This window comes from Homo sapiens, chromosome 12 (assembly GCF_000001405.40).
Source record: "Homo sapiens chromosome 12, GRCh38.p14 Primary Assembly".
NCBI classification, from domain to species: Eukaryota; Metazoa; Chordata; class Mammalia; order Primates; family Hominidae; genus Homo; species Homo sapiens.
Genome location: NC_000012.12, coordinates 69,712,830 through 69,740,726, shown reverse-complemented (window position 1 = coordinate 69,740,726; position 27,897 = coordinate 69,712,830). Strand labels below are relative to the sequence as shown.

Sequence of the window (27,897 nt, the reverse complement as noted above, 5' to 3'; positions counted from 1 at the left end):
AGTTTAGACAAAATCAAAGGTAAAGAATATTAAAGGAAACATATGGATAACTGCACTAATTCAAAAAGTACAATAGGATCTATTCAGAAATCCCACAAAGCAGCTAAACATTAAATGGCCATCCTGGTGAAAGATTACAAGTATTCAGTACCACAGATGAGTTGTTTACCAAACACAGAAGGAAGAGTTGTATCAAACACTTTGGTTCACAAAGGTATACATTAATATGTAACATTACTGTAATGGAAAAAAATGCAATGGCTTTTCATTTAATAGTTAAAAAATGGACTACTTAATTGTATAACTGTTTATTTCTATAAATTCCACAAGGGCTTTAGGATTAGATCACATAAGCCGCATCTGGAATACACTGTCTGTCCAAACATGAAAAGTCCTATCAAAATGCACAGTACTAGTAAATAAATAACAAATGATAACAGAACAAGGCCCCATAAAACTGGTGAAATATTTAACAGTATCAAATATTTACTACGATTGGTCTACAACCCTATTCTGCCTCTTTTCTCCTTGATTTGTCATTCAGCACTGGAAGAAAAAAAAACCTTCATGAACAACAAAATGAGAAAAAGGATAATGAACAAGAACTGGGTCTTTCAACTGATTTACAATGGAACAGTTTTGTTGTAATCCTCTTATGGGCCCCTCCTCCAATTATGCAATCATTCCACTGCAAGAGATTACAAGGCTTTTAACCCGACACTGAACGGAAGGAGTTGGGGTGAAACAGGAGAGTGTATAACAGGTAGCCTCCGAACAGGCAACATTTCCATGAAACTAAATTGCCTCTCAGTAATCAGTACTAACTAACTCAGCGCTCGTGTCTTTCAAGACCTTACCCTTTCATCTTTTTTAATCCCATAACAACCGGCAACTCTTCACATGCTGCGACTTCCACCCAGCATCATCACTTCTGGAGCCAGTAAGCTCGCGCTTCCTGGGCGGTCGGGGCGAGTTGTCAACGCTGGGAGGGCAGAGCCATGCAATCCCACCCGTGCAGTTCGTCTCAACTCCCCCGAACACAAGTCTGGCGGCACGGAGCTGCCTACTTGGGCGCGACTCCGGGCGCCTGCCCGGAATTTCCCACCAGGTTTCACCGAAACCTCCCGAGGGTGACCTCTACGCCTCAGCACGGTGCCTCGCGCGTAGTTTCCTAAGACTGGGACACGAAACCACCCCAGGTCCACAGCCCTGCCGCGCGGCGTCCGGTGTTGTGAGCTGCTTCCGACTTGTTCGGGAACTCTCTCTTCATCCTCTTCGCGACCGCGGCCCTCCGCTCCCGGCCGCGCCCGCCCGCCGCCAGGTAACCCGCTGGACTCGGGCTCCCTGCCCCGGGCGCGCGGGACCGCGCAGTTAATGTGTAACGCGCCCGTGCCCGGGGGAGGAGCCGCCGCCCGACGCCCACCAGCAGCCCAGGGGGCGGCCGGCTGACCCGGGTCGCCAAAGTCCCCCCCACACGCCGCCCCCAAGGGCCCGGAGCCCAAGTGCCCAGGCGGAGAGCGAGCTCACCGGGCCTGGGCATCCCCCCGAACCCCCGCGTGCCGCGCCCTGCACGGCGCCAGCACCTGCACCTGCCGCGGCCGCCCCTCCTGGCCGACTCGCCAGAGGCGGGCGCGCGGGCGCCGAGGGGGGCGGTGCTCTACGCTCCGGGCCTCTCCCTCCCGCGGCCGCACTCACCTGAAGAACCCACCGCGGCCGCTGCCGGCGCTCAGGGGCGCTCACAGAGCCGCAGAGAGCGCGTCCCGAAGCAGCGAGAAACGGAGGAGGACGGCGAGCCCTTTCCGCTACACTCCACGGCGGCGGGCTCACTACGCCGGCAGCCGCCGAGGGAACGCGGGACTGCGCCTGCGCCGGAAGCGGGGCCGGGGGCCGGGAGCCGGGAGCGGCCGGTCCTCACGGAGGGAGGGCGGGGTAGGGGGGTGTGGCCGGCAGGGGCGGGGCGAGCCCGGCATGGGGCCTGGGGGCGGACGCGCTTCCGCGCCCCCTGGCGCCAGGCGGGGCTCGTCGCAGGTGTCACGGCCCTGGCCCGAGGTTCCTCCGCGGGCGGTTTCCCTGGGAACCAGCGCGAGCCGGAGCTGCGCTCTGTTTCGTCGGGCCCGCGCTCTGTTTCGTCGGGCCCGCGCTCTGTTTCGCCGGGCCCGAGAGGCGGCCTCAGGTTAACTTCAAGCATGTTGGGCTCTCCAGGAGGGAGAAGAGGCACCTTTGCCGTGGGTTGAGGACTCCTAGAACCAACCTGAGACTCCGCGGCCATATACACCTTACGACGTGTGTGTGTGTGGCGGGAGATGGGAGGGGAGGAATCCTGTAGAACCCAGATCCCATCATTCCAGCAACTGCCAGAGCGTTCGAGAATGTCATGTCTGTACCTGTCTTCTCTCATCTTTTGTGCCAACTGTTTTATCAAACTTCTACCCCACTTTAGGTCTTCCAGGTAGGAAAAATACAGAAAGAGCCAAGATCCCAAAAATCAAAAAAAAATAATAATAATAGAGGTAGTCATAGTATGTGTCTCTATGTTTAGCAAAAGAGAAACGTGCATTTGTGTGATACACTTATTGAATAGGACCATCATTCTGGGTATTAATCTCATCTATTAGAGGCAGTAAAGAAAAGTAGACTATATGTATGGTTGTTGGAGTCAGAATTACTGGGCTTGAGCCTGCCACCTGCTAGCTGAGTGACCTTAGGCAAATGAATCTCTCTAGCCCCAATTTTCTCATCAGTGAATGAGTATACAGAACCTGCCTCACTGAGTCATTAAGAGTTTAAATGGCTTAATTCATGTAAACACTTTGCGTACTTCATGACACAGAGTGCCTAATAAATATTAGCTATTGTTATTATACCATTATAACTATTATCATGCATCTGTAATCCAGAAACCTAGAAAGCCAGTGTTTCTTATTTTATACCCCATCGCCAATATATCACCAAGTCTTATTCATCCTAATTTCTAAATAATTCTTAAATCTATCTTATCTGATATTCATTGCCACTAGAAATGACCTTTCTCATTAATGGATTCCTATTCTCCCTTACACCTCATAGCTGGTCATTTATTCATCAGACATTTTATTGCACTCCATCTGTGTGCCTCCTGTTAGACATAGGGACAGAGAAACCATTACAAAGTCCCCACCATCCACGGACTCAAACATATATAGGGAGACAAGTATGTCAATAGTAGCTACGTGAAATGAATAAATTAAATATACAGCAAACCACTTAGGCTCCCCAGTCTTGCCGTACTCACATACAACCCTGTATTTCCATATGCTGTTTATTTTTATGTCTTGATCTCCTACCTTTTCCTTGCCTTGCTAATTATTTGTTATTCATTATTTAGCCTAGACATCAATTCCACTGTGAACCCTTCCCTATTGTTGGCCACTCAGCCCTATCCCAGCCACTCCAGTATGGGCTAAGTGCCCCTACCAGGGCTTCCATAACACCGTATCTCTTTGTAACACTTATCACATAGAGTTATAATTGTATCTGTATTTCTCCATTTTCCTGGACTGCGAGCTTCTTGAGAACAGGCACAAGGTCTGACATGCAGTAGGACTGACTCAGTAAATGCAGAATGAGTGAATGGCATGCATGCAGAGTGCAGTCTTGGTATGTGAATGTTTAGAGGACAAGTCCTATGATATATTCTACATAAGACCTAAGACATCATGATCTATAGGAAATAGTAAGCAGTAACCATATATGCCTGAGTCCTGCGTTGGTCCATTTACAAATCACCTACCATCCATGAGGCTTTTTGAAATATACTGAAAGATGTTCCTCTTGAATACTTAACCTGTTAGCGCTGTTTGAGAAGAGTGATATAGATTGTTACCTATAATAATACTTCAGTGTTCTTGCAGCACAGAGACCAAGATACATTACAGAATATTAGACACTCAGAATCTCAGCCTACAAAGTATGTAAAGGGCTGTGAGCATCTTAAGTTTGATAGCTTACCCATATATAAAAAGGACAGCTATTTCACAAAATTTAAAAATGTGAAAGATTTGGATGGGCACGGTGGCTCATGCCTGTAATCCCAGCACTTTGGGAAGCCAAGGTGGGCAGATCCTTGAGGTAAGGAGTTCGAGACCAGCCTGGCCAACGTGGTGAATCCCCATCTCTACCAAAAAAAAAAAAAAAAATCAGCTGTGCATGGTGGCACACACCTGTAGTCCCAGCTACTTGGAAGGCTGAGGTGGGAGAATCACTTGAACCCGGGAGGCGGAGGCTGCAGTGAGCCGAAATCACGCCACTGCACTCCAGCCTGGGCGACAGAGTGACACCCTGTCTCAAAAGAACAAAACAAAAGGCCGCACGCGGTGGCTCACACCTGTAATCACAGCACTTTGGGAGGCTGAGGTGGGCAGATCACCTGAGGTCAGGAGTTCAAGACTAGTCTGGCCAACATGGTGAAACCCCATTTCTACCAAAAACATAAAAAATTAGTCGGGCATGGTGGCTGGCACCTGTAATCCCAGCTACTCGGGAGGCTGAGGCAGGAGAATCACTTGAACCTTGAATCACTTGAACTCGGGAGGCAGAGGTTGCAGTGAGCCGATCGCGCCATTGCACTCCAGCCTGGGTGACAAGAGTGAGACTCCATCTCAAAAAAAAAAAAAAAAGAGTGAAAGATTTTATAGTGTGCTCAAGGTTGCCTTTTTCTCTTTATTTTTTTCTCTTTATTTTTTAAAAATGTAAATTATACAATTAGTGTCAAATATAACGTATAAAATAATATTGCTTTTTTTTTATCTTAAGACTTTCTCATTTATACCTTGGGCCAGAAAAAAAGCAGATGAGTGCAAATATATAGACATTGTAAATTGAACAAACCATTCTAAGGTTGTTACCCTTAGTTATAACTTTTATTACTTGTTTGCCTCTGTTTTGTTTTCAGAGTTAAGAAAATGTATTTTCATGGTATTTTCCAGTTGCAAACTGACTTCATGTTAATGATTACATGAGTCTTGTACAAAAAACAATTTGATGCAGGTGGAAAGGTAGTTATTCTTCATTTTTGTGGATGGGGAGCTTAGGCCACCAGAGTTAGGGCCCTGGTGTTTGGAATGCAGGTTAATATCTTATAAACGAATGAAGTGAAAACATATTGAACTTTTGTGTCCAGTAGTATGGCAGACTAGAGGCTCTGGCTGATTCTCAAACCCAAAGCAATATATATAAATATATATAAAACATCTTATCAAGCATATCAAAGAGTTGGCAAGAATATAAGAAACCCTGAAGGGCAAAAACTAGGTGTAAGTGAGAACTCAGACTGGTAAATAGTAACAATGCAAAAATGAAATGGAAAAAAAAGACAGTTATGGGAAAAATGTACCAAAAGTAATTAATCTATCATTTCCTTGTCTGCCAAAATAGTCAGTGAGTGCCAGTGCTTGTGTTCTCATAAAAACTGACTTTTGCAACTCCTGTAAAAAAGCAGAGCAATCTCAAAAGTGTCTGTCATGATATTAATTATGGACAATCCTGTATTTCAGGCCCCCTTTCTGATGTTGGAATAAGTGACTGGGAAAAATTGGAAAGCTGAGAGAAAGGGTTTAAGAGAGAGCTTAGACTCTAAAAAGTATGATTCCCCCCTTCAAAAGAATCACTTTAACAAGCTACATATATATAACAAAACGTTTTGAGAATTGACTTTAGATCCAGTTTATCACACACACAAATTGCCATCCATCAAACAAATATTTATTTGTAGCTTCTCTGTGACAACTGTGTAAATAATTTTCAGTAAGAAGGAAGAGAAGGAGAGATGAGACACAGTGAGAGGGCTTCCTGGCCTCCCCTTACTTTTTAATTCCAGCTATCGCTCTATTACTGAGGCTTCCTTCATCCCTTCCCATAGGTTCTGTGAGAAATCCTTCTGTCCTTAAAATAATTCTCCCTTTTTTGCTTTACATAGCTTTGAATGATTCCTATTACTGCCACCAGAAAATTATCCTAAACTATATATTTTCATACAGGGATTGATTTCTGTAGCAGTTAAAAAGCTCAAAGTAACAGTAGCTTAAAGAAAATAAAATGTATTACTCTCACATCAGTGTAGGTGACTCTCTAATCAGCAGATCCATGGGCTCCTTCCATCATGTGGCTTTACCATCCTGAAATGCAGCTTCTACCTTATGATCCATCATGGCTGTTCAAGTTCCTTATATCCTTTTTCCAGCAAGCATAAAGGAGGTAGGGGCAGAAAGGAACACACGTGTCTATTCTAAGCCACTTACAGAAGTTGTATACATCACTACACTATGCTCCCTTGGTCAAGTGTAGTCTCTATTGGGTAGCCATGTGCCCAGCTAAAAATCAGTGGTTCTAACACTAATGAAGAAGGGGAGAACGTATATTAAAGAGAACTAGCAGTCTCTACTTCATCACCTGGCATGAGACTTAGGATGAGAGAAATGGTGATGGGGTAGAACATACAAATAGAACAAAGGCGGTGTTAGGAAAACATGCAGTGTGTTCAGAGATGGTAAGCAATGCAGCTTAGTTGGCTCATGGAACAAGTGCAGGTGGATAGATAAGCCTGGAAAGATATGCAGGAGCCAGATTGTGGAAAGATCATAAATGCCAGGCTGAAGAATATAGAATTTGATAGAAGAAGGTTTCTGAAAGATTTTTGAGCTGGAGAGTAAAATGATCAAAACAATGCTTTAGGAAGACTTGTGTTGGCAATGCCTAGAATATATTTGAGGAGAGAATGACTACAGGCAAGGAAATTAGATAGGAAGCTACAATGAGATAGTGCCTATACTTCATCAAAACAGAGAAGAGGAAACATTTCAAAGGATGTCTAATGCAACAAGTGATTAGATGTCTCACACCTCTCTCATGCACACACACACACACACACTCACACACAGAGCTTACTCAGCGTCCATTATACCTTTTTGAGATCAGCACATTGATGTTACTTGGAGAAGCATCTTTCCACCATATTTAGTCTGTATGATTCCAGTGGAACTGAATTCCCCCAACTCCAGGGGTGAATATGTGACCCAGGCTTGACCAATCAGAGAATCCTAGTCTCTGTGATGGATTCATTGATAAGCAAATGACTCAAGTAGAGCCAATAAAAGTCAGTTCTGGGAGTTTTGGGTTAATGTTGGGAAAAATGAATCTATGTGGATTGCTGAGAAAATCAAATGTAAGCTGCTGGCAACAATCTTGCCCCCATTGGAGAATATGCCTAAAAATGGAACTAACATGGAGACGGCAGATCTGAGAGAGAAGAAAACGAAGTGTGAGTCCTAATGACATCATTTTACTTCCTGGATCAACCTGTGACTGAAGCCAGAGACCCTGGAATTTTTAGTTACATGAACCAGTAATTTTATCTTCGCTTATGCCAGATTATGTAGGGTTTTCTGCCACTAGCAACTGAATATATAGAAATAAAGGTGAGAAAGGAATCAATGAGAATTCCAAGTTTTAAAGATAGTATCATCTACCTTTGCCATACATAGTATTACCCAGACTTGGCTCTGATCAATTTTATCTGTTCCAAAAAATCAAATCTACATTCAAAGGAGGATGTTTGGGGCTGGGCAGAGTGGCTCACACCTGTAATCCCAGCACTTTGGGAAGCTGAGTTGGGCAGATCACCTGAGGTCTGGAGTTCAAGACCAGCCTGTCCAAGAGATGGTAAAACCCCATCTCTACTAAAAATATAAAAATTAGCTGGGCGTGGTGTTGGGTGCCTGTAATCCCAGCTACTAGGGAGGCTGAGGCAGGAGAATCGCTTGAACCCGGGAGGTGGAAGTTACAGTGAACCAAGATTAGGCCACTGCATTCCAGCCTGGGCAACAGAACGAGACTCTATCTCAAAAAAGAAAGAAAGAGAAGGAAAGAAAGAAAAAGAAAGAAGGAAGGAAGGAAAAAGAAGGAGGGAGGGAGGAGAAAAAGAAAAGAAAAGGAAAGAAAAGGTTTTCTGTATGATTGGGAATGTTCACAGTAATGCCATGAAAACTCTGAAAATAATTAGAGTCATAGATTATTGGAGTTAGAAGAGACCTTTAAGTCATCTCCCCTCAACATCTATTTTCACAAATGAGAAAGCTGAGACCCCCAAAGAGGAAGTGATTTATCCAAGGTCACAGAGCTAAAATGTCCCAAAGCTGAGTCTTGAACCCAGGTCTTTGCAATACTAGTCTATATATTTCCATTGTATCATCCTGAACTTCAAAACAGGACATCTAAAAAATGTTGTTGAGTACATTTGAGATACATATAACACAAATACAGACAACTTCCCATGAAGCAACTATTTTGAAAAGACAGTATTTATTTTGAAAGCATGGGAGTGGCAGCAATGTTCACCATATTCTTGTGAGGATAGATGGTCTTCTGCATAGTGTTGCTGTGACTCATGCCATTGTACATTAAGTGAAACCAACCATGCTGTGTTAACCACTAATAACTGGACCTGGTTAGATACCTGAGCCAAAAGCAACCCTGTGTGGCTAGATTGAAGATGAGAGAGGCCAAACTTTAGAAGTGGCATGAAGCTCTCCCCAGTAGGGATCCTCTATTCCTTCGAGGGAAATCAACCCAGTCAGTCCCCCTCCCTTTGCAAATATGAATGCTAAGTATGCACACAGAGGGTGGTCATTCAAGTTCAACTGGTAACCCAAATCAAGATAAACTATTCTTCATTAGGCTTACTACATCCTCATTATAGAAATACTGGGGTCCACATATCCTGTAATACCTAATCTCTATATTTTTGCAATAATTATGCATGAATTCCTTTACTTATTGAGTGTCCTTTACATGCCAGATACTTTTCAGCTACTTGGAAAGTGATAGAGAATAAAATAATGTCCCTGCTTTAATAGCTTTTGCATTCTAATGGAAGAGACAGTCAATACAGACATAAATATATAACATAATGTCAAGTAATAATATGTGCTATGAAGAAAAATAAAGCAGGACTCATTACTTCATGAGAACTTTATCACATAGCCAAACATGGCTATAAGGGAAGACAGAAAATTTGGTCTGTATGTCAGCAGTCATCTGCTCAGGAAGAAAGAACTAGCAGTCTGCCACAAAAAAAAAAAAAATTAAAAAATAATAAAAATTAAAATGAAAAAAGTACGAGTAGAAACAGGGAAGAAGTTACACTTTGATGTATCTAACACATCCACAAATTAACGAACAATTCATCTTTTGTTTAAATTAACCTTAAGGTAGTATTTGCCTGATTATTCACATAAACACATAGATAATTTGTATTTCTTGGGTTACTTTGGGGGAGTCTTGTCTCTCAGTGTTTGCCCAATTTTGATGCTGTCATTCATCAGTTATTTATTGTGTGTCATTAGTGGGCTAGGTAATATTCAATTAAACAGATGACAGAATATTTCCGAGATAGAAAAAGTTTCTGTATTCTCCAAGGAAAATATTCTTGCCTCAGTACCCCCACTATTGCTGCATATTTTATCTCAGCCAGTGGTTTTTTATTTTTTAAAGTGACAGATAAAATTGTATGTATTTACTGTGTACCCTCAGCCAGTCTTATTTATAAAAACAATATCTACTCTATTTCCTATACTAAGCGTTCTCACATAAATACCCATGCCCTTGTAAGTCATTCAGTTAATTATTGAGTGGCTACTAGGTACAATATCCAGCTGGTGAACCACTAGCATCAGAATCACCTGAGATACTTAGTTAACTCAGGCTTTATGAATCAGAAACTTTAAGAATTGGGCCCTATCTGAAATTTTTCAACAAACTTTAGAAGCAATTTTTATGACACTTTAGGAATCAACAGTAAAGAATGCATGGTACGAAGTAAAGCAGAAAATTCTCCAAACTACAATCTAGTTGGGTTAACATAATATATACATAAAACAGTGATTTTAAAAATGTATCCAGAGAGTAAAGATAGCATCCTCTATTCTTCCACCTCCCAGAAATCACTCAGTAACAAGGATAATGACAATAATACAAAATTCATTTTCATTGAAAACAGTAGATACCTGAAACCCTGAACTACAATATATGTGAAATACAGTGAATGGCAGAAATACTTTGATAAAAGATGTAAATGCCTACCGACTGCAGAAGACAACATCAACAAAGCACACTTCACAAAAGTAAGTGACTTATCTTAGAGACAAAACCAACAATCTTTCATTTGAAATAAAGGAATCAAGTATGTGGACAGGCAGCAGTGTCTTCCCTCAACCTGGTTTATCATAAAAGAGAAGGTGGTAGGGCGCCATTGGAAGAAGAATCATTCAGACATACCACATATGCAGGAAGCATTGTGTTTGTGAGGCAAAATGGAAAAAATATATATAGACTGTGATGTGAGCAGCCCTGTGATTGCCAATTTCTCTTAGTTAAAAGTAGAAGCTAAAGGAACTCATCTACACAACCTCTGTATTATAAGCAGAATTCCTATTAGGCTGAAACATGGTCCAGGCCTCTCAGCACAAACCTTCTGCAAGCAGCATTTCTTGGAAAACCTCTCCTCCAAACATGAGCAATCAATCAAAAAGTAATCAGTCATCCAGGCACGGTGGTGCAGGCCTGTAGTTCCAGCTACTTGGGAGGCTGAGGTTGGGGATCTCTTGAGCCCAGGAGTTCGAGGCTAGCTTGGGCAACATAGTAAGATTCTCTCTAAAATATTTTTTTTAATTTTAAAAGTGCGTATATAAAAACTATACACATTTTACAAAAATATATGCAAACAAAAAGATACATATTTGATGCATTTGTATGATTGCTTATCCAGGGGAGGATAGGAATAAGAATAAAAAGGAAACCACAAATAAATAAAACTAGCCTTCCATGAATCAATTATGATAATGTGGCATGAACTAATAAGTATGACTAACTCAACTTTCTTAAGTCCTTTCACTTGAAAATTTTTTTAAAAGCAGCAGAACCACAAAAGGAACTTAAATACGAATTGAAAAAGGGAGAGGAAAAAAATAACTATTTAAAAAATGAAGACAAAATTAACACAAACTTGGAATAAACACTTGTTAAGGGGGGAAAAAAAGGCAAAATAAAAAATGTTTTAAGAATCACAAAATACCAGATTGAGAAAAGCAAGTTAAATGAAGTGAAAATGAAAAAAAGGGATTAGAGAGAAAATTATGTAAATGGAAAGAAACAAAAGAAATCCAATATGTATATAATCTAACAAAAGAATCTAGAAGTTGGAACAGGAAAAAAAAAAAGCAGATAAATATTTTGAGACACTTTCCAGAAATAAAAGACCTAAATCTATAGATTGAAAGAGCATATCATATCCCAAATTAAAAAATGTCAAGAATAATCAAAGCAAGACCTAGTCTAGCATAGCTACTGGATTTCAAAGATAATGAAAGGATCTTTCATGCATCCAGAGCAAAATGATCAAGACATCTATAAGGGGGAAAAAATTAAAATGTAATTCTAAAGGTTTCATACCCAAGGATTTCATACCAGAGAAACTTATTCAAATAAAAATATAATGAACACTTTTGAACATGCAAGCAATATGGTTTTAATATTGCCCTTTTTTATAGGATATTCATAGAGAATGAATTTCAACCACCAAAGAGACGAATTTAGAAATATGGGCAGTGAGAGGAGACTGGTAGCAATCATTAAATCCATTATCTATAGAAGTAAGTCTAAAATAACGTTGAGAATTATGGTCATAGAACAGAGAGTAACCGTTGTAAGTCTTGACAATATCACAATGAAACAACCAACAAAAGCTGAAAGAGAAAAGAAATAAGGTAAACATAACAAAAATAATATAATTAGAGGGTAAAGAGGTGAGGAACAGGAAATACACTGTTCAATGCTTTCAATAATATATAAAAAGTAGTTTCAAAGTTATTAAGATGACCACTGGAACAAAAATGCAAACCTTTCAAGTTCAAAACACATGCATACACAAAGAATATATATACAGGCCATATAGTGAAAAATAAATGAGCACTACAAACAAAACCTAACAAAAAAACAAAAGATAGGTAAAGTAAGATAAAAGATGACATGACCTTCTTTTCAATGAGCACTGAAAATTTTCAATTAATTTTCTCAACTGGGATATCAGGGCAAATCTCAACCTTGTGCTATATACATAAGATACAGTGAAAACAAAATGATTTAGAAAGGTGGAAAATAAAAAGATAGGTGAAGGCATACCAAGCAAATTAAAACCAAGATCAAGATTTTATCTCCAAGTTAAATTCAAGAAAAAAGTATTAAATAAGACAAAGATAGGCACTTTATAAAACATGAGATGCAAAATTAAGATTTCATGCTTATGAATATCAATGTACCAAATAACATAAAATTGAAATTTATAAAGGAAAACTACATCAAATTCAAAGAGAAATCCACAGAAAACATGACTAGTTAATTTATCTCATCCAGAACAGATCAAGTTGTCAAAAATTAAGTAGGATATAGAAGGCCTAAATAACATAATTAGCAAGGTAGATTGTATATGTACATTTATATATTTATAAGTTTATATAAATATGTGAGCGAGAATAATACATTTTCTTTTCATGTACCATAGACTAGTCACAAACATTGATTAAGTATCTAAAGGTGCTTCAGATAGGCCTAAAAATTTTGTCTCTAATGGACAAGGGAAATGCTCCTTTATTCTCAGCCCCCTTTATTATTTTTTATTTTTTAAATTCAGCTCTTTTTTTTAAATTTAAATGAGCACAAATGAAGAAAAAGAGTGAAATAAGATTGTACACACTCATTTCCAATTTTAACAATTATCAATGAAGTACCAATCTGCTTCATCTATATCTCCAACAACTTCTTGCCATCCTGCATTATTTTATATTTAGTTTCTTTATTAACTTTATTAAGGTATAATTTACATACCATAAAATTCACTCATTATAAGTATATGAATCAATAATTGTTAGCAAATGTTTAGAGTTGTGCAACCACACTACATTCCAGTTTAAGAACATTTCCATTATCCCCAAAAGATCCTTCATGTCCATTTGCAATAATTTTACTCTTAACCCAGTTCTAGGCAACCACTGATCTGTTTTCTGTCTATATATTTGTCTTTTCTCTCAACTCCTTTTAACTACAGCTAGCTTCTCTTTTGTTTCATTTGCATATTGAACTTCCAGCTTGGAAAAAAAAAAGTTTGAAAACCATTATGACACACACTTACTTAAGAAACAATGTAAAAATATTTTTTATTTTAAATTTAAGATGTACATCCCATGTGCAAAATATATGGAATGGAATGCTCCAAAGCAGCAGTATCCAGTATGTGATCTAACTGATCCTGGTTAGGTAGAACACAGAAGCTTTGCAAAGACTATCTCAAAAAGGAATTTGAGAAGTTTGGTCTAAACATGGATGTTTATTGTATGTGGGGTATCTACAGTGAAAGAGGAGAGAAATGCTTTAATACTAATTTAAGCGTTAAAGTGGTCTGATGCTCCTTGCATCATTCATCGGGTGTGTTTTTCATTTGAGCTTTGCAAGAAAGCTTTTCCTGGTCTAAGAATAGAAATTATCATGGTTGTCAACATTCTTCATGCCTGTACTCCTAACCGTCATCAGTTTGGGCAAAGACAAAACAGCGTATGCAGTCTGGGTTTATTTGAATGCAGTCAGAAGTGTAGGTTATGGGTACTTGTTAAAGAGATGTTTTGAGGTCAAGAACTTTGGGGAATTAAAGAGCTCTCACTGGCCCAACTTATTCAACATTCAGGGGCCCAAGAGATTGTGCTTTCTTGTTCTGATGAAACATCTGAATATACTGAACTTGAAATCACAGGGGAAAGGAAGGGCTTTTGTTTCAGAAAGTAAAAATCTCAGGCATAAACCAGGCATATGAGTTGAGCTCAGGTCAACCGCCTTGAGCTTAATGGAATTACAGATTTTGAGGAGTTGCTGTACTATTTTGGTAGAAATAAAGTCCGAATTTTAGAAGACATATTCTGATGAACATGAATCATACTTTAAGTTTCTGCAGCTGCTTTTGGTGTGCAAACCCCAAGATGTGTTTGAATTACCAAGTGTCTCCCCTATCTGTGCAGCTTGATTGCAAGAGGAATTTAATTTCACAGACCTGAAAGGGAAACATGCTATCAAAAAAGACAAAATTTAATTAGAATTTGAGTAGTGGTATATGAATCACAAAATTATCCTAAATTTTATTCTTCCATGAAACTACTGAAATCCAGACTGATAGCAATCATACTATCAGAAACAAAAATTTGGAGTAGAAATTCAGCTATATGCTACCTGAATACAGTCTAGACGGTTCAAGAATTGTTTAGTCACATGTATAACTGGATTATCATTGACATAATCAAAATTAATTAACAAGTTTCTGAATCAGGTAAGTAAGTATCTTTCAGGACCAAAAATACTCTGACATCATCCCTGTGTGAAATTATTCTTGCCAGACAAGCAGGCACTTTTGGCCACAAGAAATGGGCATCTGTCCCCAATTCAATGCTAGCAATGCCAACTTAGGGCCCAGATGATTCAGGTAATTGTAGAACCTGACCTTGAGGCAAAGAGTTGGAAACAGTGTTAGAAATACCTGAATATTGCTTAGCCTGATATTTTATAAGAAGTAAATGAACAGCACATACTCCTAATTGGTCTGTCTCTTGGGGTCCTGAAATTTCCAGCGTATTGCAATTATGAGGCTTTTTTTTTTTTTTTTTTTTTTTTTTGAGATGGAGTCTCGCTCTGTCACCCAGGCTGGAGTGCAGTAGTGCAATCTCAGCTCACTGCAACCTCTGCCTCCTAGGTTCAAGCAATTCTCATGCCTCAGCCTCCTGAGTAGCTGGGATTACAGACACCTGCCACCACGCCCAGCTAATATTTTGTATTTTTAGTAGAGACCGGGTTTCACCATGTTGGACTAGGCTGGTCTCAAACTCCTGACCTCAGGTCATCTGCCCACCTCAGCCTCCCAAAGTGCTAGGATTACAGACCCGAGCCACCACTCCCAGCCCAATTATTAGGCTTTGAGTAACATCTAGCCAAGAGATATGAGTCATACCTAGTTTTGGTAGGCTATATATGCATTTTTATTAACAGAGTTGATTAGGAGAGAAATCAGGCCACATGCTTATAGATTTCTAATTATTCCTAAAATGTGAACATTACTATTCTAAAGAGTTAGAGAAGACTTCTGGCATGAACATGAGTGGGTATATTTGTATTTTCACTTTTCTATCTTTGAAAATCATTCTGGATACAAAAGGATAAAAACACAAACCCCACCTTCCAAAATCTGCAAGTCCATTTTTTTTTTCTTTTGCAGAGTACAACACAAATATACTGCCCAGGTTCTAAAACATGTATAAGAGTTAACAAAATCAGCTGAGGTTGAGCAGAAATTGTATAGGAAAAAATAGGAAAAACACAGAGACCAATCTCAGCTGCAAGAAGGTTCAGCTAGACACTGCAAGCAAAAGTATAACTCCTGAAGGTAAGAGACATATCCTGAGTTACAGAAACATTATCCTTGTTTACAAAAGTGGATGTGGGAACCGGGGCAAACCATGCTAGCAACAAAAGTCCCCTGTACCCAGTTTGATTCAAAAAGACAGTGCAAGTGAGACTACACAAAGAATCACACAGATAAGCCATATTCACAGGAAGCAGTCTGTTCATGTGGCAGCAGAGAAGTGAGTCTGCACTTAGTCAAAAACAGCTTCTTCCTAACCTTGCTCCCATACATACCAGAACTCTTGCAAATAGTTGGTCCAGGAAGACCCAGTTGACTCAATGATAATAAATAGGAAAGGGAAAGGAAGTAGCACATCACCAATACAAAGAAACAATAACAAAATTTTAGAAAAAGGAGCAAAATCTAACAGATGAAGAATGCTTTACAAGTGAAATGGTAGCTTTGGCAGATGAAATTTTTAGAAATAACTTTCCTTGAATTAGAGAAAAGAGTGAGACCATAACCCCAATAAAAATACAATTATAAAACATAAACATAGGAATTTGAGGAAGATTTAGAGAGATAGGAGGTGATAAAATGCAACGGAAGAATTCAGAAAAGAAGTAGTAGAAAAAACAAAACCATCACAGAAATAAAGACAAAATTAGAAGGGAAGTGAGAAAGAAAAGAAACATAAGGGAAGATAATAAGAAATATAGAGAAAAGAGAAAAAAAGCAAAATGAAATGAAAAATAGAAAGGATTAGACACAAAATAATATATACAGGAAACAGGCAAAGGAGGTTTTTTAAAAAAAACTTACAACTAGTGCCCCCAAGGAAAAGATCCAAAATAATGGAACAAACAAATACTTAAAGATATGATTGAAGAAAACTTTTCTCAAAAAAAAAAAGTACACCTATTTATTGAAAGGATATAGTATATGCCAGGGACATTTTACCTGACATAATTACTGACTACAATGAAAAGGAAATAATCCTTTGGAGAGGTTACAGATAATCAATCAAATCCTTTGTAGAGGTTGCAGATAATCAAACCACTTATAAAGGGAAGTGCCAGGCTGTCCTTAAATCTCTACACAAGAACATCTGTTCCAAGAAGACATTAGAGCAATGTATACAAGATACTCAAGTAGAAAAAGTGGACACAAAGTCTCTATGTCTAGCCAAACTGTCTTTCAAGTATAAAAACTACAAAGAGTTTAAAATATGCAAAAATTCGGCTAGCATTGTTTCTATTAGACCTTCTTAGGAAAACTACTAAAGATGAACTTTAGGTAACAAAAGATAATGGGCACAAGGCCAGTAAAAGGACTGCTTGTGAACATTGTATCATTAACGAATGATGTCTTTCCTTTGTGCCCTCCTGGAATTCATCCATCACCAGCCAAATCCCCTATATCCTTAGCCTCTTCTCTGAACATTTCATTCACCCTCTTGCTCTAGAAAACCAGCTCTCTCCTGAGGATATGCTTCCCCTGAAGCCATCTTACATAGTGGCTGCTTTTTTTCTTCCACTGTCCTTATATATCTGGGCCTACATTTGGGGAAGGCCACCTCTTTGCTCCTCGTTGCCACTTTCAGACTTTTCTCACTTGCCTCCCTAAAATTCTCCCAAGTTAAATCGCATGTTATCAGATTAACTCACCCAAAAATGTTCATTTTTGCTGTCATCTATTGACACCTGGGTCAGTCTTTTTCATTTCTCAATGCTATTAGCTCCAGTCCGATAATATCTCTCTTTAGTCTTAATTCTTAGAGATTTCAACAACTAAGGTAGGTGATCCTTCCAACACCATAGTTTGTCAGTTTTTTTTTAACTTCTTTGCTCAAATAACCTTGTTCTCCACCATACCTCAGTCACTCACCCTATGGTCATGCTCTAGATTGTGTCATTATCAATAACTTAGTTATCTTAGTTTCATCATTCTATTCCCAGACATCTCGCTTTCTGTCTTTCCAATTTACTCCCTTTGATGCCCCGTGATGGTTAATACTGTTAACTTGATTGGATTGAAGGATACAAAGTATTGACCCTGGGTGTGTCTGTGAGGGTTTTGCCAAAGGAGATTAACATTTGAGTCAGTGGACTCGGCAAGGCAGACTCACCCTTAATCTGGGTGGGCACCATCTAATCAGCTGCCAGCAAGACCAGAATATACGCAGACAGAAAAATGTGAAAAGAGAGACTGGCCTAGCCTCCCAGCCTACATCTTTCTCCCATGCTGGATGCTTCCTGTCCTCAAACATCAGAGTCCAGGTTCTTCAGTTTTGGAACTTGGACTGGCTCTCCTTGCTCCTCAGCCTGCAGATGGCCTATTGTGGGACCTTGTGATTGTGTGAGTTAATACTCAATAAACTCCCCTTTATCTATAAATATATATATATATATTTATATATATAGTCCATTAGTTCTGTCATATATATATAAATTAAAAAATGTATTTAAGGAAGGGAGCAGTTACTTGAGCCAGGAAACAAAGAAGTATATGGAGAGGGTTGCCTGATAGGAGCTGTCACCTTCAGCCAGAAGGTGCAGCCAGCCTGTGGTGGTGACACAGCAAGGGAGGAACCTTGGAAATAAATACTCAACCTCCCTCTTATCACTCTCTCTTGTTTTTTGCCATTGACTCAGAAACTGAATAATAGTTATTAAATTACCTTTTTTAGGTCACTTTGAGAAGATGAGGTATCAACAGCCACTACTATTAGGCAAGGTACAAGTATCACAACACTAGTGCCATCTGAGAATCCATGTCAACCCTTAGCTAAGGAAGTAGCTCCCAACCTGGAGATCTCTGGGTCCTTGAGGACTCTTAAAGTAGTTATGGAGCTCATTGAACTATTTTCAACATTTCAAAAAGATATCACGTAGCAATTGTACATCCATCCTTAATAAAACTGCACAAGCAAACTGAAATGTTATGTTTTCTAGCTTTGAGTTGATGTAATATGAACTCAATGCCGACCAGAAGTGTGATAGGTGGTTTTATACAACTTTGATTAATAAAGAAACGTGCATCATTTTAAAGAGAAATGAACCCAAGTGTAGATTCCAAGAATAGGCAAGTTCTAGGTCTTTCTCAATTGTAGACAGTCACTGAATCTAGGAGGTACTGTTTATAATTTACAAAATTATTTTACCACTAAAAATCACAAAATATATTCCATTATTAGGATATCATAACTAAAAGATAGATATTGCTGTTTGTTTACCTGGAATTATTGACTATGTGATAAATAATCAACAGTGTAACATGTTTACATCAAAAACATTAAATAATATCATGTAAAATAGAAACATATTGTTCTGGTTCTAAATTTAGTGGTCAGATTAGATTTTTTTTTAAGAGTCTGGAAGCACTCTTTGGTTCACTCAACATTACTAGTCAAGCACCTTTCAGGGCTGGATTACATAGAATTTTGTCCTGTCTATTTGGTCTGATCAATTTTTAAACAGTTTCATGCAGAATTTGCCTTCTGTTTTATAGCAAAGTCTATGTTATTAAGCTTCTTTGATAAATAAATCAAAAGGGTACTAGAAGAAAGAATATTTTGTATTCTGTAATACAATTACTATCTCAAGGGGTTAGTTGACTTTTAAAATAAAGTAACAGGGTTCATTAAAGTCAGGAAAATTTGCAGATTTCAGAAATGCTATAGTTAAATATTTTAGGGTAACTGTGGGAAGGGTACCAGAGTGATCTTCAGAGGCTTAGCAGTGAGTTGGAGACAGAGAAGGAATTGCTGCCTAGAAAATAGAAAAAGCAGATGGAATTCCTGTTCCTTCCCATAAGGGATCATTAAGTTCAAAACTGTCAAGATGTCAAAGCGTTAACAAGATTAAAAACAAAAGACAAAAGTTTTTCCTCCAAAACAAGCCTGAAAACTGAGGTGCTTTTGATGTGGAAGACATGTAAAATTTCCCATGTGGTGGTGGTTTTCTTATCAATGAACACTTGAAACCCCTTGTCAGGGAATGCAGTGTGACCTGTCTTCCCAAGGTCTCACCTTTTAGCCATTGCCTGACTAATTTCATCTGCCTCCACGATAGGGCTCACAAAACCAGGCTGGGCAAAGTCTGATCCATAGAATTCTATTTCTCTATCCATTCAAGACACTTATTCACTAACAAAGTAACTCAAATGGAAAAGCTTTGGTAATATGCAAAAATAAAAAACAATCTCCTCTCAGGGTTCAGAGCCTCCTGGGAGAGAAGCATACCTTATCAATGTCACAGACCTCCATTTGAAAAGCTAGCAGATCCCAGTCAGGGGCATAAGCTCAACTGCCAGAGCCAGGGCAAAGTGCAATGGGCCATCGTTAATGCAGTCACAACTATCAGATCAGTAAAGCTCCAGACAGGCATGGTGACTGATTTTAAAAATAAGATCTTTCTTTTCAAATTATTCTTGTACGTTAAAGCTGTCCTCCCCAAAGACTCGTACAATAATGTAAAACTTGGGAGACAACCTGAATGTCCATCAATAGGGAAATGGCAAAATAAATTATAGCATATCCATTCTCTTGAGTCTTAGGCATTTGTTAAAAAGGATAAGTTTGATCTCAAAATACTAACATTAAAAAAATGGAGCTTTTAACAAATAAGCAAATAGGACAGGAAAATACGATTCAGTTTTGCAAAACAAGTGTATTGGATGCAATCTTTGTGCACCTCCTCAGATTTTCTCTACTGCCTCTTTTTTTTCTGAAAGTAATCTCCACACCCCTATTGCACCCCTACCACAACCACTGCCTTTACTGAGCTCCCAGGGCTGGCCAGAGTTCGATTGGAACCCTGAGCCTGCATGGCCATTAGTCCTGACATGCTGAGCCCTATCAGCATTGAGTTGTCACTCTTTTTCTAGGTTTAGATGAAATGCCACACTATGGAGCAAGTGGGGCAGGGGGCAGGATTGGCTTCCTGAGTGTCTGCCAAGGGCTGGAAATATAGGAAATTATCTTTTTAGGGGGTGAAATTTGGCCCATGGGATATGAGAGGGTACCAAGGAGAAAAAAATCCCTCCCCTTTCTTCCTGCAGTGGGCTACTCTGAAGCGTGGTTTCTTCTTGCAGCTTTTCCAGAGGTGTCCTGCATGCTGAGTGGACATGTCTGCCAAGCATCTGCTATGTCTTTGCCAGGTCCCTTGTGAAATGGTGCTCTTAAGTTTTCTCAACAGAATATGACCAAAGAATTAAAGTTAGTGGTGGAAATAGCAGTTACAAGTGAGAGCTATCATTCTGTGACCTAGATCAAGGCCTTGTATCCAAAACTTGGTCTAAGTCTCCTTTTAAGTAGCTCCAGAACTGCAATAACAACACTTGTCCAACTTTAAATTACAGGCATGAATGGAGAACACAGGTGACACAGGCAAATTATATTTACTTATGCAATATGAATTATCCTGATACTTTGTGCCAGGAAATGTTCTAAGTGCTGGGAATTTAGCAGTAAAGAAAGGGGACAAAACTCCTCACCCACATGGAGTTTATTTTCTAGAATTGGAGGGGAGTGGATTGGGAGAACAGTAACCAAGGGTATCAAAAATTCATTTTAGCCCTTAGTTTCCTAGCAAAGCCAGCTCTGAAAAAAACTTGTCAAAGCAAGATTTCTGTCATTTCCTTCCCTGGGGCTAGAAGCCTTTTGCACCATGTTTAGCAGCTTTCCCACTTCCACCCCTCCCAAAGACTTACTCTGGGCTGTGTGTCTGGTCAGCTGTGTGTCTTTTCCCCCAGGAGTTGCTCATTGTGTTTCAAGGCTGTTAGCTCAGCTAATGTGCTTTTTTATTTTAGTAACTTCATAATACTAATAGTCTCTGATATTTGCAGAGTGCTTTTGTATTTACAGAGCATTTTCACTTACAGTAACCATTTTATTCATACTCCAACTCCCATGATATAGTCAGAACAGGTTTTATTTTCCTCCTTTTGCTGCTGAAAAGACTGAGAAGTTACATACTTTGCCCAGGGTCATCCAGCTAGGAAGAGCAGAGTCAAAATGAGGATCCTTCTAACTTCTTAATAGTGTTATTGCCTCTGTACTTTTGGGGCTATTTCTCTCCAGATAGAATTTTAATTATTTTGATCACATTTAATTATAATAACGCTATGGGTAAAAATGCAGAGCTCCAGAGTGGGCTGGTGGAAAAGAACACCTGGGGCAGGTGTGTCTGTGGTATCTTAAATAAATTAGATAGATTTTCTTTTCCACCTTCAGATAGAGCCAATGCTGTCAGAATCACTTTCAAGTAATAGATATATGACTGATTAGACTAAGTAATACAGCCGTGGGCCAGTGTTTATAGGCAACTAGGGTGCTTCTGGTGCAGCTGCAGTTCTTTCTCTCTGCATGCTGGTTGTCAGGAGCCAGCTGTCCCCACCCCGCCCCCCTTCACCCCCACTCCAGAGTCAGCATCCAGAAGATATGATTTGTTCTCCCTTTCCCCCCATATCTGATATTGCTAGGGTGACCATGTAACTATTGTCCGGGAGAAAAAGGAGAGAAAAAGGAGGCGCTATTAAATAATTACACCAGGACAACAGGTGTAAACCAGGACTCTACATTTCACCACTGAACAAGGGGTGAAAACTTTAAAAATAATAATAATAATAATGATAATTGATTACAAAAGAAGTCCTGAAAAGTTGCATGTTACATAAATGAAATTTCAAATATATAGGAAAGCTAGCTAATTAAGGAAATTCTTAACTATAAATTCTCTGGAAACGTAAGAAAAAAAGTTTCACAAAACACTTTACTATCTTTTATGTAAGGCTGTAAAGTTTAAATTTTCTATAACAGTTTCTTAATACATGCAATATATATTGGCTGCTGCTACACATAGTCGAACATTTAATTCTCACAGAAAGCCTGTGGAATGGTGTGCCTTGTTAAGATATCATGCTAGAACAGATACTACTGCCCACCCTACCAACAAAATCTTTATTCATATCATTTGCTTTGTTTTTTAATATTGTAAAATAATACATGCTCATTACAAAAAATTAGAAAAATATAGAAAAATAGAAAACAAAATAAATCACCCTTAATCATCACCTCACCAATAACCATTAGTAACATTCTGATGTATTTTTTCAAATGTTTGTATTTGTACAACTATTTTTGACTTAATTGTGATCGTACTATATTAACTATCCTGCTTTTCTCTTAAATTATATTACACATATTTTGCCATCCCATTATGAATTGTTTATAAGCCTAATCACAGTAATCTATTATGTGAGAAACACCTTGTTTACTTAACTATTCCCAGTTCGTAGGGCATTTGAGTTGCTTCCGATTTCTTATTATAAATAATGCCACAATGAAGACTTCATACTAAAAGCTCATTTGGTAGTTCATGTTATTTCTTGAAGCTAGATTTCAGAAACTGAAATTATCTTAAAGTAAATGAACATATTTTAGGTTCTTGTTACATATTTAAAATTGCCTTCCAACAGGTTTTTCTTCAGTTTACACACCCATCAAAAATAAATATGAATCTCACCAGCACTGAATATTTTCATATATGAAACATATGGTTTTCGTTCTGCATTTCTTTGATTTCTACAGAGACCTAGCATTTTCCCATATACTGACTAACCTAATTGCATTTTCTATATTTTTGTTCATATTATTTGTACACCAGAGTTGTTACTAAAAGTACAAATTCTAAATATCTATAAAATTACCTTAAAGAGTTCTTCATGTTTTGACTTGATAAAAATTACAAGATCTGGCCGGGCGCAGTGGCTCACACCTGTAATCCCAGCACTTTGGGAGGCCGAGGCGGGTGGATCACCTGAGGTCAGGACCAGCCTGGCCAACATGATGAAACCCTGTCTCTACTGAAAATACAAAAATTAGCCAGGCATGGTGGTGTGTGCCTATAATCCCAGCTCCTCGGGAGGGTGAGGCAGAAGAATCACTTGAACCCAGGAAGCAGAGGTTGCAGTGAGCCAAGATCATGCCACTGCACTCTAGCCTGGGTGACAGAGCGAGACTCCATCTCAAAAAAAAAAAAAAAAAAGTACAAGATCTGATAGGAATTATTACATGGATTAAGGATTGAGGAAAATATACAGTTTTCGATATGACATTAATTTCCATCCTCATTGAGAATTGGTGGAACCCTGAGCCTTGGAGGCATCTAAGGCAATGTTCTTGGTCCCAGTCAGTGAGGGTCATATTCTGTATTCATAGTCTAAGTTTCCTGATTGCCTTCCTCTGTGTTTTAATATTTAGCTATTTCATGCCTCCTCTTGTAGAAGCTGAAGTTAGGTATTATTGCCATCTGAACAGATAAGAAAATAAGGGTTCAGATAGGCATGTGACTTGCACAAGGCCACACAGCTGGTAAAGAGTAGAACCCTTTCTGATTAAAATCCTCACGTTCATTCCACTGGTATTCCACCTGAAGTCAGATGTTTAAGAACATTCAGGAAAAGAGGGAAGAAAGAGACCTGAAAAATTTATTAAAATAGCAGCCATTAAGTACTAGAGGTGCCTTAGCCAGACTGTACTGAGCATTAGCAAGATAAAAAGAATTCATTTCATATTCTCCAGGTTTTACTTTTCAATTTGTATAAAAATTCCTACTTATCCACAGCCTGGCTCTTTTAAGTATTATCTTACCCGAGAGGCAGTAGAGCACAGTGGATGAGTTCAGGCTCTGAAATCCATCTGCCTGAATTTTAATCCCAGCTTTGCCATTTGCTACCTGTTGTAACCTAGGAACGTTACTCAAATGCTCTGTGCCCTCAGTTTCCTCAACAGTACAGAGAAAAAGTATAATAATAATAGTACTTACCATATAGAGTTGTAGGGAAAAGTACATGAGTTAATACACGTAAAACACATGACATAGTGCCTAGCCTGTGGAAGTATGCAAGTAATGTTAGTTGTTGTTGCTGTCATTATACCATTATATGTATTGATTCATTTAACCTCATGACAACCCTATGATCCTGTGACAACCTTACTGTGATCCCCCTTTGACTAATGAGAAAACAGAAGTTATACTAATTATGAAAACATAGCATAAAACACTATTCAAACCTAAAAGAGAATCTCTGGCTGTAAGTGTGAACTAGATTTGAAAAACACAATACATCAATGAAATATAAAAAGTTAAGGGAAATAAGTTACATTTTACATCAAAAACAAATTAAGTAATATGAGATGTTAACATAAAACATTTTTGTCGGCACTGAATGTGCAAGAAATATTGTAGAGATTTTTAAATGTTTTTATTTGTATCATGAAGAATCCTTAGAAAAAAACTGTCTAACCCAGAAGTGTAGCGGGGATGCTGACAGATGTTACCGCCATCCTCCTTTGTACTATTTAAATACCATGGATTCTGTTCTTGATAGACTTGAATGCTTGATTTCAGGTGCCTATGACTCATATTTGTAAATAATTAATACATGTATTAAAAACACATTTTATGCATCAACAGATACTTTCATTTTGAATGTAAAGTGCACACACCCCAAACATTTTCTTTAAAAAAAATCAATATTTATTGAAAATAACCATGAATCAAAATTCTAAGGGAAATCAACATAACTAAAATAGTTGCGTGAGTACCGTCCTTAAGAAATAAGAATTTGGGAGAAATAGTTACCCTCACCTCCTTCCTCTCATTCCCAGATACAGGAAAAGACCTTAACTGAGGGATGGTTTCCTGCTGTGTCCTCGGAACCCCAGGGCCTGGTTCATAGAGACAAGTAAGCAGTGACTGAAGAAAGTTGCAAATGTGAAGACCTAGAATTTACCAGTGAATGACAATTTGAATGTGAGAAGCTTAGAAAAAGAGAAGATGGTGGTCAGCAAGGGAAGAAGAAAAATAAAAACATGTGAAAAAATGAGAGGAATGGATATAGGCAGAGGACCAAATGGCATCAAACTCACAGCAAATAGGCTAGATTCACCTATTTCAAAAGGAAATTCTTTCTAGCATAAAGAAAAGACAAATATTTAAGGTGATGAATATCTCAACTACACTAATTTGATCTTTGACTCAAATTATATGAATGTATTAAATTATTACCTATACCCTGAAACTATGCGCATCTATTATGCATCAATAAATAATTATTTAAAAAAATAGAAATGCTAGAACCGAAAAACTCAATAAAGAAATTAAAAAAGAAAATCAAGCTACTGAAGAGATCCCTGGGCTGTGATGGAAACAAATAAAATGGCTTATTTCTAAGGGCACTCAACTATTGAGTAAGTCTGAGCCGAAAGGTATAAAGTACCTTTGGCAAATAATAATAATAATAACCACAAAAATAAGCTTCTTAGATAGCCTATTGCTTTGTGGTTATAATAATTATACACTCCACTGGATAGCAAGCAATCTACTTATCTACACGTGTAAGTTTGACTTGAAGTTTCTTCTATTTTTCATCTGCTGGAGTAACTCAATTACTAGGCCATCTGTATTTGCAAATCTGCAAAGTGAATGTTGTCATCCAGTAGCCTTGCCACATGTGTCCTGAGTACTTTTTACATTCTTTAGCTTCCTTGATTCACTTCAGCCACCCTAGAAATTACTGAGTTTCAAATTAGATTAAGTCTCCCTGAGAAGTGAAATAAATATTGGATGGAGAGAAGGAAAGAAGATTCAGATGGGTGGGGATGAAGAATGAGCCGTGTGAAGGAAGCATGTTTGCTAATAAACCTCACGGAGGATGACCTGAGTACACAATGCGGTTTCATACTTTTATCTTAATGCTGCTCATTATAGCCAACTATAATCTCTGCCTGCCTGACAATGGTTTGTGTATATGTCTGTTCGCCCACCTAGACCTGGAATTCCCTGAAAGCAGAACCTAGTCTTCATCTGCGTATCCCCAGCTCCTAGAATCAGGACTGGCACAAAGCTGTTACTCAGTATCTTTTTGTTGAATGAAGGAAGCAAAGACTCAAATACATTTTTTCATTTTTTTCACCTTATGAAACTTTTGGCCTCATAAAACTTTTTGACTTATGAAACTTTCTTAAGGGCTATGAAGTAAGGTTGAATGCATTGCTTTGTGTTCAAAATCCCTTCAGCCCCTGTGGTAGTCAATGGAAATTTATATAATCTGATTACTTATTATATCACCAAACCTCCAGAGTTGGGCACAGACTGGAGGGTGAACCCACCAACTAAAAGAGGCAGAGGGACACATGAGTGTTCACACAAGTGATAAATTAACATAAACTACTTTAAAGGTTATTTAAAATTTACATGTCTTGGAGTTAACCCTAAAGTAGCAGTTCTTAATTTAGGGCTCATGGATCTTTAGCAAGTCCAAGGATGAATTTTAGGGGGCATATTTATGAACCACAAAAACAAACATCAAAGACAAAATGAGTTATACAAAGACATGTGTTTTGGAAGGGAGGTGATCTACAGCTGTCATTAGATTATTGAAGGAGCCTATGATCCAAAAATAATATAATTCATAACTTCAAACAGATATTTTCAGAGTATGACAAGAAATATGCACAAGGATGTTCATCATGGCATAGAGAGAGTGGAAAATTGGAAGTAATCCAAATGGATTTCAATAAAGGAGTGTTGAGCACATAAATAAAACATATATGATATGCTGCATACGGATTACACATTGTTGAGGGAAAGGGCAGGTTATTGCACAGCATGTGTGGTATGGTCTTATTTATGGAATTAATATACATGTGTATCTAGGCAGAGAATGTGTCTAGGCATAGAAAGACAGTCACCAAATGTTAACAGTTATTGTTGATTGGTCGAATTTGGGATGTTTTTGTCCTTCCTTTTTATACTCCCTAATTTGTTTGCATTTTTAGTGAGCATGTTGTCATTTTAACAAAATAATAGTATTTTCAAGAATTGGAGGGACAATTATAGAGAAATGTAAGGAAGGCAGAGTCATAATTGGCAAGTAAAAGAAACTTGAAAATTATTAACCTTAAGGTGAGCACCAAGGAGACCACTGCTGCTCTCCGAATAGACAACAGAGTGGGACGAGTGATACATAAGCCTGACCCAGTGTGGCAATTGCTGTGTCCTAGTTTAAACATATTCAAAGGGAAGTGACAACTGGTCTTGGAAACTCCTGGCTCCATCTAGTGCATTGTGAACTGGTTTTTCTGTGAAGACAGAGCACTATACAAGAATAAAATCATGTGTATGAGAGGTAGAGATAATTACATATCATCACTCCTGGTTGTGCCAGTCAGCCTGGCATGTGGCACAACCAGTTCCTAGAAGCTGCTCATCATCTGAATCAGATTAGAATCTTCTTTCCTCCTAAATGAACAAAGACCCACTTCCAACCTTATGTTTGAAATGTGAAACATTCATTTGCGAGATACAAACCCTTCTCAGAAAGACTATGTACCGATGCATACTTGCCATGAGTAAATGCTGCCC

At 38.6% G+C, this 27,897-nt stretch overlaps 1 protein-coding gene and 1 long non-coding RNA gene across 16 annotated transcripts in view, besides 1 other annotated feature; one reads left to right on the top strand and one right to left on the bottom strand.

The window, feature by feature from the left end:
• RAB3IP (RAB3A interacting protein) overlaps positions 1–2,485 on the bottom strand; it is an 84,963-nt gene extending 82,478 nt beyond the window's left edge. For 4 of the 13 annotated variants that reach the window (XR_007063038.1, XR_007063039.1, XM_047428266.1 and 1 more), the window contains exon 1: positions 2,252–2,466. Coding sequence is in view for 7 of the 13 variants with exons in the window: in XM_047428266.1 (XP_047284222.1) it covers positions 2,252–2,376 (125 nt within the window). In the remaining 6 variants the exon portion in view is untranslated. Of the gene's footprint in view, positions 1–857; positions 1,347–1,695; positions 1,868–2,251 lie in introns of those variants that run through there. The other 9 variants (NR_103519.2, NM_022456.5, NM_175624.4 and 6 more) reach the window with 5 other exon arrangements.
• Positions 1,290–2,119: a silencer, noted in NCBI's record as "silent region_4654". NCBI's record gives its function as "represses an Ori minimal core promoter by ATAC-STARR-seq in GM12878 lymphoblastoid cells {active_cell/tissue: GM12878}" and the evidence as "EXISTENCE:reporter gene assay evidence [ECO:0000049][PMID:35858748]".
• Positions 2,177–27,092, top strand: LOC101928002 (uncharacterized). Of its 3 annotated transcripts, NR_110072.2 has the most exons (4): positions 2,177–2,449; positions 10,031–10,154; positions 15,338–15,505; positions 25,140–27,092. It is a non-coding gene; the product is annotated as an uncharacterized LOC101928002 (long non-coding RNA). The 3 variants fall into 3 exon arrangements; NR_159972.1 differs by lacking the exon at positions 10,031–10,154 and having other exon boundaries at positions 25,140–26,202; NR_159971.1 differs by lacking the exons at positions 10,031–10,154; positions 25,140–27,092 and adding an exon at positions 18,156–18,405.
• Positions 27,093–27,897: the final 805 nt, after the last annotated feature.